The 14019-nt window shown below is 46.2% G+C and overlaps 1 protein-coding gene and 1 non-coding gene across 41 annotated transcripts in view, besides 4 other annotated features; both read right to left on the bottom strand.

Annotated features, from left to right (window-relative positions):
- The window catches only part of TANC1 (tetratricopeptide repeat, ankyrin repeat and coiled-coil containing 1), a 264020-nt gene that overhangs the window by 34778 nt on the left and 215223 nt on the right, over positions 1-14019 (bottom strand). For all 40 annotated transcript variants that reach the window (NM_001350065.2, XM_047446107.1, XM_047446108.1 and 37 more), the window contains 4 exons: positions 11983-12091; positions 10858-10980; positions 3389-3625; positions 1089-1274 (listed from right to left, as the gene is read on the bottom strand). In NM_001350065.2, coding sequence (NP_001336994.1) covers positions 1089-1274; positions 3389-3625; positions 10858-10980; positions 11983-12091 — 655 coding nt within the window. The remainder of the gene's footprint in view (positions 1-1088; positions 1275-3388; positions 3626-10857; positions 10981-11982; positions 12092-14019) is intronic.
- Positions 2338-2507: an enhancer, noted in NCBI's record as "experimental_53596 CRE fragment used in MPRA reporter constructs". NCBI's record gives its function as "activates a minimal promoter by MPRAs in K562 erythroleukemia cells, with activity observed for the introgressed 2:160051971 or rs56157902 variant allele {active_cell/tissue: K562}" and the evidence as "EXISTENCE:reporter gene assay evidence [ECO:0000049][PMID:34662402]".
- Position 2422: a transcriptional cis regulatory region, noted in NCBI's record as "Neanderthal adaptively introgressed variant 2:160051971 (GRCh37/hg19 assembly coordinates) or rs56157902 in the experimental_53596 CRE". NCBI's record gives its function as "modulates activity of the experimental_53596 enhancer by MPRAs in K562 erythroleukemia cells {active_cell/tissue: K562}" and the evidence as "EXISTENCE:reporter gene assay evidence [ECO:0000049][PMID:34662402]".
- Positions 10981-11047, bottom strand: MIR6888 (microRNA 6888). Its single transcript, NR_106948.1, has one exon. It is a non-coding gene; the product is annotated as a microRNA 6888 (primary transcript).
- Positions 12111-12280: an enhancer, noted in NCBI's record as "experimental_53569 CRE fragment used in MPRA reporter constructs". NCBI's record gives its function as "activates a minimal promoter by MPRAs in K562 erythroleukemia cells, with activity observed for both the introgressed and non-introgressed 2:160042198 or rs17494014 variant alleles {active_cell/tissue: K562}" and the evidence as "EXISTENCE:reporter gene assay evidence [ECO:0000049][PMID:34662402]".
- Position 12195: a transcriptional cis regulatory region, noted in NCBI's record as "Neanderthal adaptively introgressed variant 2:160042198 (GRCh37/hg19 assembly coordinates) or rs17494014 in the experimental_53569 CRE". NCBI's record gives its function as "modulates activity of the experimental_53569 enhancer by MPRAs in K562 erythroleukemia cells {active_cell/tissue: K562}" and the evidence as "EXISTENCE:reporter gene assay evidence [ECO:0000049][PMID:34662402]".

Below are 14019 nucleotides of genomic sequence, written 5' to 3'. Positions count from 1 at the left end.
GATAATGGCATTAGGAAACTAACATACCCTCCAAGTCTTATGGTGAACAAACCCTGCTTTTTTCACCCTACTGGCTGTGCTGAGGTGATTTTCGCTCAGCATTTCCTCCCAACCAGCTTTAAAACAAGGGGGTTAGCATGGATTAAGACCAAGGTCATTCCTAGGCATTCATGGTCCTCCCAATGATGACTTTTCACACTTAAAAAAAGGAAAACATCTACATTTTCATATGTGTGTTTAACAGTATCTCTCTGTGTGTGTGTGTGTGTGTGTGTGTTTAATGTTTAAACCAGAAATTAGCCAGCCACTATTTCATGCTTGTGTGTGTGTCCGCTCATGAGTTTTGAATGCCAAAGTCAGCCAGCCAGCTTCCCACTCGAATTTACTAAAGTCATTTTAGAAAAAGAATCTTACCAAATACTGGCACCTCTAATTGCTTGAAGATAATTCAGAGTAAGAAATACACAGGAGGAAGCGAGCAAAACATTATTAAATTCACAGATAAAGAAAGCCAAGACACACAGGTCAGGAGGTGACAATTAAATCTTCAAACTGAGGAATACCAACATCTGTCAGAAATAAATGCTCTATTTAACTACTGCATGGAGTTTTCATTCAGTGGAGGAGCTGTAAATGACAAGCATTCTTGTGTGCTATCAAAGCATTAAAGCTCTATTTTTAAAAATCCTTCAAATACTCAGGAACGATTTTAGAATCAGGATTCTATGTGATTATTTTTAAATGAACACAAGGACAGAAGAAACGAATCAAAGGGGAAAAAATTTAAAACAGCAGGTCTAGAGGGCAGAGCAGGGAAGGAGGAGAGACATGAGGAAGAGCTGAGAGTGAATGTCATCAAAAGGCTTCCCATAGAAAAATAAGCCTGCCTGTCCCCATCACGTGTGCATAGGAGTGTGCACTGTCACTCACGGGAAGGATGTGGTGCCCATAGAAGACCTTCTACTGCAGGTGGTCAACGCCAAATGCTAGTTCTTGGCATCCTCCTTCTTTCGGTCCTTCAGTGTGTCAACTGACTTGCTGGGCTACAGCTTCTTGTTTCCCAGGAGGGAAACCCCTGCCCCACTCACCGAGCTGTGGCCCATGCTGGCCGCCGCGGTCAGCGCCTGCTGCAGGGCGTGGCTCTTCCTCAGGGTGCCTGGCTGGGGAGGACCCGGCGACCACTCACAAGTCAGCAGGTACTGGAGAATGTCACCGTGGCCCCGTAGGGCACTGTGGACAAGCGCACACTGGCCCTTCTTATCCAAGTGGTCCACCTGGGGGCAGGAGTAGGGGAAGGTTACAGCTGAGCATTACTTTGCCTCTGAGCATGCAGATGCACCACCTAGCTGTGTGCAAACCCCACTCCCTGTAAGCGTACATGGGGTTCACATTCCAACTTGTCTTTCTGGAGAACATGGAACCTTAGTCTGGATTACTTCCAGATGGTAATGAATGTACCATTCCAGGCCTCAGGTTCCCTTTGCAAGATTCAGGGTCACAAAACACCCTCCTTACTCCCATGTCCCTGCAGCAAACTACACAAAGCTCCTAACTCTCTTGTGAGCATGTGTGGAGACACAGACCAAAACCTCGGACAAATCCCTGTATTTCCCAACTTTGGTTGCTTGGGTGGGGCATTCTAAGTCTGCTGTGACAAGCTATAATTTGAAGGAGTAGAGCCACTCTCTGGTCACTGAGCCAGGGGATCCGAAGAAAGAGAGGGATGTGGAAAAACAGCTGAGTGTGGAAGGGCAGGAAAGGAGTCCAAGTGGCATCTGATTGGGAAGGAGGTCTCATGTAGGCCGGTGGCCTGGGCATGCTGGCAAGTAAAGGGGGGGCGGCCACAAAGTCAGGGCAGGCCAGCTAGGCAGAAAAAGTGAGTGAGTGCCACACACCTACTCCTCAAGGCCCCAAAGCAGCGGCAGCCCTTCATGCCCTGTCTAAACCCCAGAGTACTGGGCCTGGGAGCAGAGCCCAGGGCCTAGCCTTGCATGCCTGCCAACTCTGGGGACGCCCTGTACCCTCATTCAGAGGCTTTGCCAGAGCCCCCTGACATAGCACTCAGCCTCCTACTCCAGAGCTTTCAGCTGTGATGGGGGGAGGCCTGCTGGCCTCAGAATAAAGTGTAAAGCCCAGCTGCCATCCGTAAATGGAGGTGCGGTGATGTGCAGCAGTAACATACCCACCCCAAAGGCTTAGCCACACATTTCCTTCTCCATGAACTGAAGTTTATGTATGTCCCAAATGTTGGATTTGAGAGAAAAAAATAAATCTCCCACAGCTGTTATAAGCCTAATTTTTTTGAACTTTAAATATCCTAATTAAAAGACAAAAGATAATTAGCAGTTTATCTCTACTGTTATTCAAAAGGCACATTTCCCAAAAAAATGCTTCCAGTAAACCTAGCATTTACTGTGAGCTCGATATCATTCTCATTCACCCTATTAAAGCTGACAGCTCCTGGCCAGACGTGGTGGCTCATACCTATAATCCCAACAGTTTGGGAGGCCAAGGCAGGCAGATCATGTGAGGTCAGGAGTTCAAGACCAGCCTGGCCAACATGGTGAAACCCCATCTGTACTAAAAATACAAAAATTAACCAGGCACAGTGGCATGTGCCTGTAGTCCCAGCTACTTGGAGGCTGAAGCAGGAGAATCACTTAAACCTGGGAGGTGGAGGTTGCAGTGAGCCAAGATCATGCCTCTGCACTCCAGACTGAGTGACAGAGTGAGACTGTCAAAACAGAAAAAAAAGTTGATCGCTCTAGAGTAACTTGTATAGCAATACATACTTACTTCATATATGACTGAATGCTTACTCAACAGCCCTGTGGTAGGGACTGCTGTTATGCCCATTTTACAGATAAGAAGCCTGAAGTCATATATAGGCTCAATAACTTGCCCAATACCCTAGGGCTGGCAAGTGGAAAGATGAAGATTCCAGGCAATCTAGTTCCTGGAGCTCAGGCACATGGCTTCTTCATGAGTTCATGGAACTCATCCTACTGTTTTAAAAGGACATAAAATGGGATAAGAAGAAGAGAGGGGAAAAAAGCAAACATTTAAAATATTTTAAACCAATCTTGGTGCTTTCTAGATCGATACTTGCAGGCTTTTTAAAGGCTGGCCCTCCTCATGCGGCTAGGAGCCAGGGTCTCCCTGGAATTCTGCCTTCCCCTGGACAACATTAAGCAGAGTTGCTGTGTATGAGCAAAACAAACCTCTCTGAGGCTGCCACATTACAAAGTGACCAATCCCTGGAGCCCGACCCTTTCTGTGTATGCTGTGGTTTCAGAGACAAGAGAGTCTGGCCCAGCAAATAACAATTCTAGCAATGAGATGAAGCCATTTCCCTGCCCCAGCCCCAAAAGAGCAGGCTGCCGCTTACTCTCACTCCCTTCTTGGTCAGCAGACACACCAGCTTCATGTGGCCAGCAGCTGCTGCGTAACAGAGGGCAGTCATGCCGTTCTCTGACGTTCCGTCCAGGCAGGCACCAAATTCCAGGAGCAGAGTGACAACTTCCTCGTGGCCAAGGTGAGACTGGACGCACAGGATTGGGGCATTATTTAACACTTCTGTCCTGTAGTTCACGTTGGCCCCTCCCAAAATCAGGAGACGGCTCACCTGTTGGACAAGGCCCCCCAACAAGATTGTCACATGTATGTCATCTAAACATTTCTGGAAATGGGCAGTATCCTCAATTTTCGGTATCATTTTAATCCAGTGGTTCTCAAACTTGAATGTGCACCAGTATCACCTGGGAATATATTAACAATGCACATTCTCATTGGTGGGAATGTAAAATAGTGTAGCTTACTGGGAAACAGTAAGATGGTTCCTCAAAATATTAAAAATAGAACTACTGCCCCAGGCACGTGACTGTAATCCCAGCTACTCAGGAAGCTGAGGTGGGAGGATTGCTTGGGGCCAGGAGTTTGAGGCTGTAGTGCACTATGATCATGCCTGTGAACAGCCTGCTGCACTCTAGCCTGGGCAACACAGCAAGGCCCTGATGTGAAAATTAAAAAAAAAAAAATTTTTAATTAAAAATGTCAGTAGAGGCCAGGTGCGGTGGCTCACGCCTGTAATTCCAGCACTTTGAGAGGCCATGGCGGGTGGATCACGAGGTCAAGAGATCGAGACCATCTGGCCAACATGGTGAAACCCCGTCTCTACTAAAAATACAAAAATTAGCTGGGCGTGGTGGTGTGTGCCTGTATCTCAGCTACTTGGGAGGCTGAGGCAGGAGAATCGCTTGAACCCGGGAGGTGGAGGTTGCAGTGAGCTGAGATTGCACCACTGCACTCCAGCCTGGCGACAGAGTGAGACTCAGTCTCAAAAACAAAAACAAAACAACAAAAAATAACAATAGAACGGCCATGTGATCAGTCATCCCACTTCTGGGTACATATTCAAAAGAATTGAAAGCAGGATCTCAAAGACATATTTGTACCCTCATGTTAATTGCAGCATTATTCACAACAGCCAACAGGTAGATGCAACCTCAGTGTTCATCAGTGGATGGATGAAGAAAATGTGGTACATATACATACAATGGATTATTCCTGCTTAAAAAGGGAGAAAATCCTGCCATATGTGACAACATGGGTAAACCTCGGGGAAGTGAAATAAGTGAAGCAAGCCAGACGCAAAAGAACAAATACTGAGTGAAACTACTTATGAGATATATACAGTAATCAAATTCACAGACAGTAGAATGAAGGTTTCTGGGCCTGGGCACAGGGGAAATGAGAGTTGTTGCTTAAGGGATATAGAGTTTTGATTCTGCAACATGAAAAGTACTGGACATCTATCGCACAACAATGTGAATATTGTTAACACTACTGAATTGCAGACTTAAAAATGGTTAAGATGGTAAATTTCCTTTTATGTGTTTCTTAACCATAATTAAAAATAAAAACTAAACAAATAGCCAGGCAAGGTGGCTCATGCCTGTAATCCCACCACTTTGGGAGGCTGAGGCGGGCGGATCACCTGCAGTTAGGAGTTCGAGACCAGCCTGAAGAACAGGGTGAAAACCCCGTGTCTACTAAAAATACAAAAATTAGCCAGCGTGGTGGCGCACGCCTGTAATCCCAGCCACTCAGGAGACTGATGCAGGAGAATCGCTTGAACGCAGGAGGTGGAGGCTGCAATGAGCCAAGATTACGTCACTGCACTCCAGCCTGGGGGACAGAGCAAGACTCCGTCTCAAAAGCAAAACAAAAACAAAAACAAAAAAAACCTAAACAACTGCAAATTCTTGGGCCCCACCCCCTGATTTCTGATTCATTATATCTGGGTGGTACATTTTTAATAAGTTCCTCGTTGATATTGACACTCTTGGTTTGGGGAACCACACTTTGAAAAATCACTGTTTAACCTCAACAAAACCAGGAAATTCATTTTCCTGGTAATGAAGTAATAATTGTGGCTGGGTGCAGTGGCTCACAACTGTAATCCCAGTATGTTAGGAGGCTGAGGAGGGAGGACTGCTTGAGCCCAGGAGTTTGAGACCAACATGGGCAACATGGCAAGACCCCGTCTCTATAAAAAATGTTTTTAAAAAGAAAAAAATAGTCATGGTGTTAATAGTGAGATAAGGCCAAAAGTAAATACAAATACTTTATAGGGATGTGTTCCTAAAAGAAACAGAAAATATGGAAATGTCCACATGTGCCATGATTGTCCGCAGCATAATACTGCTAGAAAATAATGTGCTGCTTCCACTAATTACTATATCCCCCACTTAGTAATCTCCCTGGATCTAGGTATTGGGAAAAGCTTTTTATCTACAGGTTTTAAAATAAAATTACTGAACATACGCAAATTTTAGGTATAATAATATTTTTTTTTTCAGATCTTCAGATCATTAGATACAAATGATGCTCCTTTAACAGCTATTAAGATGCCCAGTGTGTTTCTTTCAATGGCTTACTTCAATGGTCCTGACCCACATCAATCACTGCCCCTGCCAAAGCCTGGCAGGTCCTCCACCTGCCCACTAAATGTGAAAACCACAGAGACTATCATTTATTGACTAGAGACACATGGGGATCATTAAAAGATACAGAGAGATGACAAGGCATAAAAACTTCATGGTATTTCAGTGATAGATGTCCACAAGAGTAGCTGACAAACAGAATATTTACAAACAAATGGGTCTGGAAAATTATACTACCAAGTAGTGAAACCATAACTCACAATGGCATAGTGACAGGTTAGAACCCCAGGTGTCAAATTTGAAGATGTCTTGGCTGCTGAAGCTTGAACCTCTGTGATACAGGCCTCCAGCTTCCTCTCTGATCTTCTCTGCAGAATCCTTCCCTCACTGCAGCCACCTTGGACCCAACACGTGCTGTGACAATGCCAAGCAGGGCCGGCCTCATGGTCTTTACCCCCTTTTAGTTCCCTGACTGGAATGCTCATTCCATAAATATAATCACTTCCTGCAGGGCTCTGCTCCAGTGCCAGGACATGGGGGAGAGGGTACCCTGTGCACCCAGGCCCTCTCTATCCCTCAGCATGCTCTGTTTTCCTGCTTAGTCCACTGCACCAGACACTGGTTCTACGATACAGAAGTTCACAGAGAAGAAAGGCAAACAGAGCCCCTCCATGGATGGGGATGACCCACACATCAGTTTCTTCACACTGCTGGGACTGCCATCTACATTTAAGGAAGAACAGGCCATGTGCAAGTGACAAGGAGCCAGCCAACCACCTGACCACCACCCCGCTGTCTACACCATCAGAGAGACCACTGTCTAGCCAGATCCAGGTGAACACCAACCCAGCCTCTAGGGTCTCGCTGTCAACTTGTACTTGTGGAGGAATGGATGAGAGATCAGAAAGGGTGTCCAGTCCTAACACTGCTGTTTCATGGGCAACTTCAGGCAAATGACTTAATTAATCCCCACCAAGCCTGCTCTACAGATCTATATAGGCTTGCTTTTTAAAAATGCCACCAGACTCTGATCTAATTCAAAAGCATTTTAAGACTGCATTATGCTACAACATTAATAAAGGTGTGGCTGGGCATGGTGGCTCACGCCTGTAATCCCAACACTTTGGGAGGCCGAGGTGGGTGGATCACCTGAGGTCAGGAGTTTGAGACCAGCCTGGCCAATATGGTGAAACTGAGTCTCTACTAAAAATACAAAAATTAGCTGGTTGCGGTGGCACACGCCTGTAATCCCGGCTACTCGGGAGGCTGAGGCAGGAGAATCACTTGAACCCAGGAGGCGGAGGTTGCAGTGAGCCAAGATCACGCCATTGCACTCCAGCCTGGGCAACAAGAGCAAAACTCCATCTCAAAATAATAATAATAAATAAAAATAAAAATAAAATAATAAAAGTGTTTTAAAAATCCCTTTGAGTAACAGCGTGGACAGAATCAGATTATGCTGAAGAAATAGGATTTTATTAAGGCCAATGAAACCAGTCCTCAGCAAGAGGAGTAGAGAAGATACACATCTGGAAATACACGCAATGCCACCAAGGGGCACACCAGACTCTGCTAGCCACAGGATGGGCAGGATCATTTGTAAATTCCCTGGATAATTTTGCCAGCCAGTTACATTCTGTCCTCCCCCATCAACCCCATACCTTCTTGAGATCCATGGGCCTAAAAAATGAAGGATTAAGTGGTGTGAGTTCTCAGCCAGCCCCCAAACTAACCTACTGTGTGATTTTCAGAAAATTCCTCAACCTCTCTGTGCTTTAGGTGCCACCTAAGAAAACAGCAGCATGCCATCCCATTCTATCTAACAGGTACTCTTTTGCTAATAATGGTGGAAGGTATACTTGGAGTACCATGATGAATCCCTTACAAGAGTTTACCTGGAAGGCATGTGCTCAGGGCAGAGGTTTCCTAAAGATGTCATCAATTCACACTTCCTCTGCTTCTGGGAATAACATTTTCCTTTGTCGGTGTAATGCTGTACGTATTTTTACCACTTAACCCTCCATCACCTTCCCCTAAACTATGGTTCTTAACCTTGATGCACACTGAAACCACCTGGGAGCTTGAAAGTTTCCAATACCCTGGCCCCACTCTTGGAGATTCTGACTTAACTGGGGCTGGGGCTGTGGTGCCCAGAGCTCCCAGGTGATTTTAGCTGGCAGCCAGGGCTGTAAACACATCAAGTGATAAAGGCACCTGCAGAGCAAGGGCTTGCTGAGTGTCAGGCGCCCTTCCAGCTGTGTGATTTTGGAAAGTATCAACTGCCCTAAACCTCAGTTTTCTCATCTAAAAAAATGAGGATAAAAGTTTCACTTCACTTGGTGGTTGTAAAGATTAAAAATCAATGTGTAAAAAAAAAAGTGTATGTATATATATGTGCATTAAGCATTTAGCACAGCACTCAGCATCTGTACATGTTAAATAAACATTAATCGATGTTATAATCAACCTTTCATGGAGTCTTCAGAAACGACAAGAACTCAGGTCCCTGACCTCTGGAAGGCACAGGAGGGAGCTCTGCCCTCCTGTCCACATCACCCTGCATGCCCAGCCTGGGCTGTTCACCAGCACAGAGCAGCAGGGACACCTCATGCCGAGATGAGGGCAGAGGTAAGTCACCTGCAACCATCACATCCTCAAGGTCGGCAGCTCCTGTTAACAAGCACCAACTGGCACATCCAAAACTTCCCAGGTGCCTACAGCAGAGCCACTGTTTCCAGAGATGAGGCAAAGCACTAACAACAATTCATGTAAACATAATAAATGCCAAGTATGTTCCCAGTACCTTTAACATCTCAGTAAGGTTTCTCATCACTTGAGAGACAGCCTCTTTTGTGTCTCCACTTTATAGGTGAGAAAGCCAAGGCTCAGAGGGAGTAAGGCCGAGCTGAGCGCTAAGCACAAAGCTAATGATGGTCACAGAGCAGCCAGGTGGCAGAGCAGCAGTCTTGGCTGAGACGGCACTGTGCTGAAGGAACCTGTTTAAATGATTCATCCTATAGATTTTCCCCCAACGATATGGAAATTTTCCGACCATGATCACAGAAGCCCTCCTTGGACAACACTCAGAAGTGGTGGTATCTCTCAACTTCTGGATTTAATGAAAACAGGAAAACAGGAAGGGAGCTGGGGATATGCGAGGCAATACGATCATGAGGACCAGAAGAGGCTTGGCCAGGGTGGCCATAGGGCAGCATCAGCATTCCCACTAAGTACACTGGAAGCTCACACAAGCACAATTGTTTTAAAATGTGTCCTTCCTGACTATGATGTAGGATATGACTGGATCTCCCGGCCAAGGGAAGTTGGGCCAAAGGCCACACCTAGCTCCTGTTCTCCTCTCCTTTCTGTTGTCAGCTGAGAAAAGAACTGCAACCTAAATCCTCCTGAGGCCACAGCTTGCGGCTGGCCACCAGTCCTATGAGATGGTACAACAAAACCACTGGCTGGATGGGACTCCAGTGGGCCAGCGGGGCCCAGGCTGGCCCCATCCTGGCCTGGCCACAGGAGACAACATGGTTAGAGACTGCTGGCATGCCACTGCAACTAAAATCCATCTACCAAGTAATCATCCCAGAGCAAGTCACTTTAATTTACCAAAGTGGCAAACTGCAATTATTGTTCAAAATGACATTCATTCCTGTATGACAACATTTAATACACTCTAAAAAAAGTTCCTTAATTGCATGCATAATTTAAAATTACTGTAATTTGTTCAAGATCCTGTGAAAACCGTTTTCCCCCCTTGAAAGATAAAAGAAACAGAAGGATAATGAAAAGACTTAAGATTCTATAACCACATTATAGAAATAATTTCGGAGATGGTGTAGATGTAGGTGACACTGGAGTTTTACAAAACAAAGTAAAAATGATTAACTCTTAAAATCGCACATACGTTAAAGAGCAAAGTTTATAATCTCAGGAGGGCCATGCTCATTACACTATTATGCAGTACCTTTAAATTTACTGTCTTAAAAACTTGTACTCAACAGATGTTTCCCATTTACTTATTTCCATATTAAAATAAATTCTATGCCCAGAAATTCATTAACATATGAAAACATATTGCCATTTTTATTCTCATCTTTCTTATGATTATAGAATTTTATTAGTTATGGAGAAGCCGAGAGATACACTCTTAGCTGAAATGAAAGATGAAACAATGTGAGTGATTCGGGGGGAAGACCTGGCTCCCTAAACTGACCCAGGGCTTCCACAGGCAGCCGGGTACATCAGGGCCTGAAGCTGAAAGGCCTGGACACTGTCTCTGTGGCCTTAACAGGCTGCTTGGCCTCTGTGTGCTTCAGATTCCCAGGCTACATGAAATCAGGAAGAAAAATCTACCTTAAAAAGCTGAGTGGAACATCATGACATGAAAGCCACTGACCAAGAAGTGAAGAAGCTCTTGGCTCCACAGAAGGCCATGCTGATACCCTTTCCATAGGCAGAAATATGGATACATGAAACCTCGATGTTTGTTTTTCTGTGTACTTATCTCTATGCATCACCCATCCATGCTTAATTTCCCATGAACTCTGAAGAGATGGTCCAGATTAGTAACGCAGGACACTTAAAAAATCCGTTTTCCCTAGAAATCTCTCTGATCTTTGATTTCTTTTGTAAATTGCTTCCTTATCACATCTGCTGTGAAACAGTCACCACATGTGCTCAGAGCAGCCCTGACCACCCACATCTTCCTGCCAAAGAAAAGCTAAACTTCTGGAAGAACGAGTAATACAGCACCCAAGCCCGTGTGATCAGGGAAGCACATCTTTAGAAGCTCCTCTGCGTCCTCTCACCACCACCCAGGGCAGAGGGAAACAGGGCTGTTGGAGGAACGGCCAGCAGCCGGCCAGGGCTGGGTCTCCGGCTCTCTGTGCAGAAGGTTGCTCACCTTCACGTTGGGAGTATAGAGATTCCTGAGAGAGGCCAGGGCGGCGGACAGCCCCTCGGTGCTGTAGCCGATCCACAGGGCTTGGAGATGGCTTGAAGAAATTCCCGTCTTCTTACTGAGGCCCTGGAAACAATCGAGACAGATCTTGGAAACAATCAGAGACAGATCTGCCTGAGCATCTCCTTCCCACCTGCAGGGTCACTCTGAAAGTGGGTCTGCCGCAGAGGGTGCAGATACCTGCAGAAGGCACGGGGTCACACACAAAGAATGCCTGGACATGCGAGCTTTCACTACCTGAAACCAAGGGTCAAGGAACCAGCCTGCCTTCACTAGGTTAACTTTGTGCCTTGGGAGAGAGATGGCAGATGAGAGTTTCTCTTTGAGTCAGAGTCTTGCTGTGTCGCCCAGGCTGGAAGTGCAGTGGTGCAATCTCAACTCACTTCAACCTCCACCTCCCAGGCTCAAGTGATTCTCATCCCTCAGCCTCTCAAGTACCTGGGATTACAGATACATGCCACCACTCCCAGCTAATTTTTGTATTTTTAGTAGAGACAAGGTTTTACCATGTTGGAAGTAAATTAGAGGAAGAATAAATGACAGAATTAGAATATCACCATCTGAGCCCTGCAAGGTGGAGCGTGCCTATAGTCCCAGTTACTTGGGAGGCTGAGGCGGGAGGATGGCTTGAGTCCAGTAAGCTATGATCCCACCACTGCTCTCCAGCCTGGGCAAACACAGTCAGAAAGTCCAGGTGGTACAAAATCACACAGGTCAAGAAACTCAGGTTCTCGAACAAATCAATAATAAGGAAACAAAAAGTAATGAACAAAGTGGAACCTTTAGATAAAAAGAAACTTATCAGAGATTTAAAGGTGGAAAGAAGTAAAACTTAAGCACAGCACTCTGATATACACTTGAGCAATCAACTATAGCAAAATGCAAGGAAATGCCCAGGCTGAGTCAGAACAGCGGTTACTTTTGGAGAGGGGAGGCAGGAGGAGGTTGCATTTGGGCTGAGGTGCATGGAGCGTTTCTTGGATGGCTGACAGAGCTGTCTAAAATCTCCAAAGCAAAACCTCAAAATGACAACAAAGAAACCCTTCCCCAAGTTGGTGTGCATCTCACCTTGAAAATGTGCGCCTTCAGGATGTGGTGGCCAAGCTCCATGGTCTGCTGGCGGTTCAACTTGCCCTCCTGACGCGAGAACATGAATGCCAAGAGCGCGTGCCCGTTCCTAGGGGAAGGAATACAAAGGCTCACAGCAGAAGAGCCCATTCCACCACACCGCAGACCCACCCTCAATTCACCACCCATTGCCTTAGTCACTGATTTATGCCCGTGACAAAGATGTAAACTCCGGGAGGCTAAGGGTCTCATCTGAGTCATAATGCCTAGCAAAGTGCTGAGCACTTGGTGAACACTCAAATGTGTTTCTGGAATGCATGCATGAATAGACACAGAGCACAGAACCATCCCTGGGCCTAGCCTTCAGGTCCCCTCAGGATCACCACCACTAGGGGTAGACAAAGGACAAGGTCTCACGTGGGAAGGAGAGAAAAGCCAGGCCGTGCTAGGTGACAGCTCATGATCAAGAAAGCAGAGAATTCTAGGCTTGGATGGCACACAAGTCCTTGTGGTGAGAAGAAGGCTAAGGCATCTAAGTGGGTTTGCTGTGGCTGGCACATGGTGGACATCCAGCCAACAGCACCCATTTCCCTTTTGTGAAGGTACCATCCTGCCTATTTTCCTGCCCATTTCCCTTTTGTGAAAGGGCCATCCTGCCCATTTGCCCTCCATGTCCATAGGACTCACTCTGTCTTCCTGTGGATCCCATGCCTTTGAGCCAATTAGTTTCTAAATGACACACAGAGTTGCTTATTCCAATAGGAGTGACTTCTATGCAATGTAAATTACTTTCATTTCTATCATCCTGTCAACTTTGAGCTGTTTGGTTGGGGAAAAGCAGGTAGTTGTGGAGGGAGGAAAAGATAAACATTATATATGTTTTAAAACGCATCCTCCTAGTAGTTGCTAATCTAGATGATTAAAAGCATGCATTATTTAAACTGCATTTGTCTTTCCAGGTGCATGCCTGCTTCTCAAATAGGTTATAAACCGTGTTAGAGATGAGGAAATCAAGGCAGATGGAGGCCAAGGAATCAGTTTTTATACTACAGGGGAGGGCATGACGTTTAAGGCCACACTGCCCACTGAGTCTCGTCCATTGTCTTGTAATGGCCTGAAGTTTTCCCACGAGCACATGCCCTGTCATTCCCTGAACACCTTCCATGTCCCAGATCTTGAGCCTGGGATTCCCCTCCTCCCTTATTCCCATGGAAACCGCTGTCAGCATCTCTCTAGTGCTCTAGGCCCCCAAGGCCTCCCCAGGTCCTACCCATGGGCTGATCCCAGGATTCATTCTGGCCCAGTTCATGTCAGTTGGGAGCCACTCTCCCAACCACAGGCTAAGTCCTCCTAAGTCTCCCAGTTGGCTGAGCTCTGTGGCCAGGCCAACCGTGTCCATCACAAAGACACACTAACTATCACTTTACAGGGTGATGACCACACACCCCTTGGTGGCCGGGCCTAAAGTTTCCAGTGCTCCCAGCTGAGCACAGGGCATCCCACCTCTCTGAGGAGACAACTCCCCATGCCACTGCTCCCCACCTATACTCCTGCATACCCTGCCCATAGTTCCTCCCTGCCCTCCTGTTCTTGAGACCAAGCAATCCCCTTCTAAGACAATCTGCATTCATGATTCTGTTAATTTCCAAAGCTTCCAGGTATCAAGCTCTTACTCTATGCCAGATGCAGAAACCTAATTGAATTATCTCATTTACCTGCACAATCCTGTGACTAAGTACTATGACCCCCATATGCTTATATGAAGAAACAGAGGCCTGAACAGGTTAAGCGACTTATGCAAGACCACATGGCTAGATGACAGAACAGAGATTTGAACTAAAGTTGGTCAGACAGGAGAGCCTGTGCTCTTAACCTGCGGAGCTTGAGTCCTCCATTCATTCACAGCTACACCTTATCACTGGCACCACGTCTGACGGGGGGATTCTATGGGGGAACAATGCAAGGTGCTTCCATTGAGAAGCTCTAAGCAATGGGAGGGGACACGCAAACGATATGCAAGTCAGTTAACTGGGTGCT

This window comes from Homo sapiens, chromosome 2, assembly GCF_000001405.40.
Source record: "Homo sapiens chromosome 2, GRCh38.p14 Primary Assembly".
Taxonomy (NCBI): Eukaryota; Metazoa; Chordata; class Mammalia; order Primates; family Hominidae; genus Homo; species Homo sapiens.
Note: the sequence above shows the minus strand (reverse complement) of the source record. Positions and strands in the feature narration are given on the sequence as shown.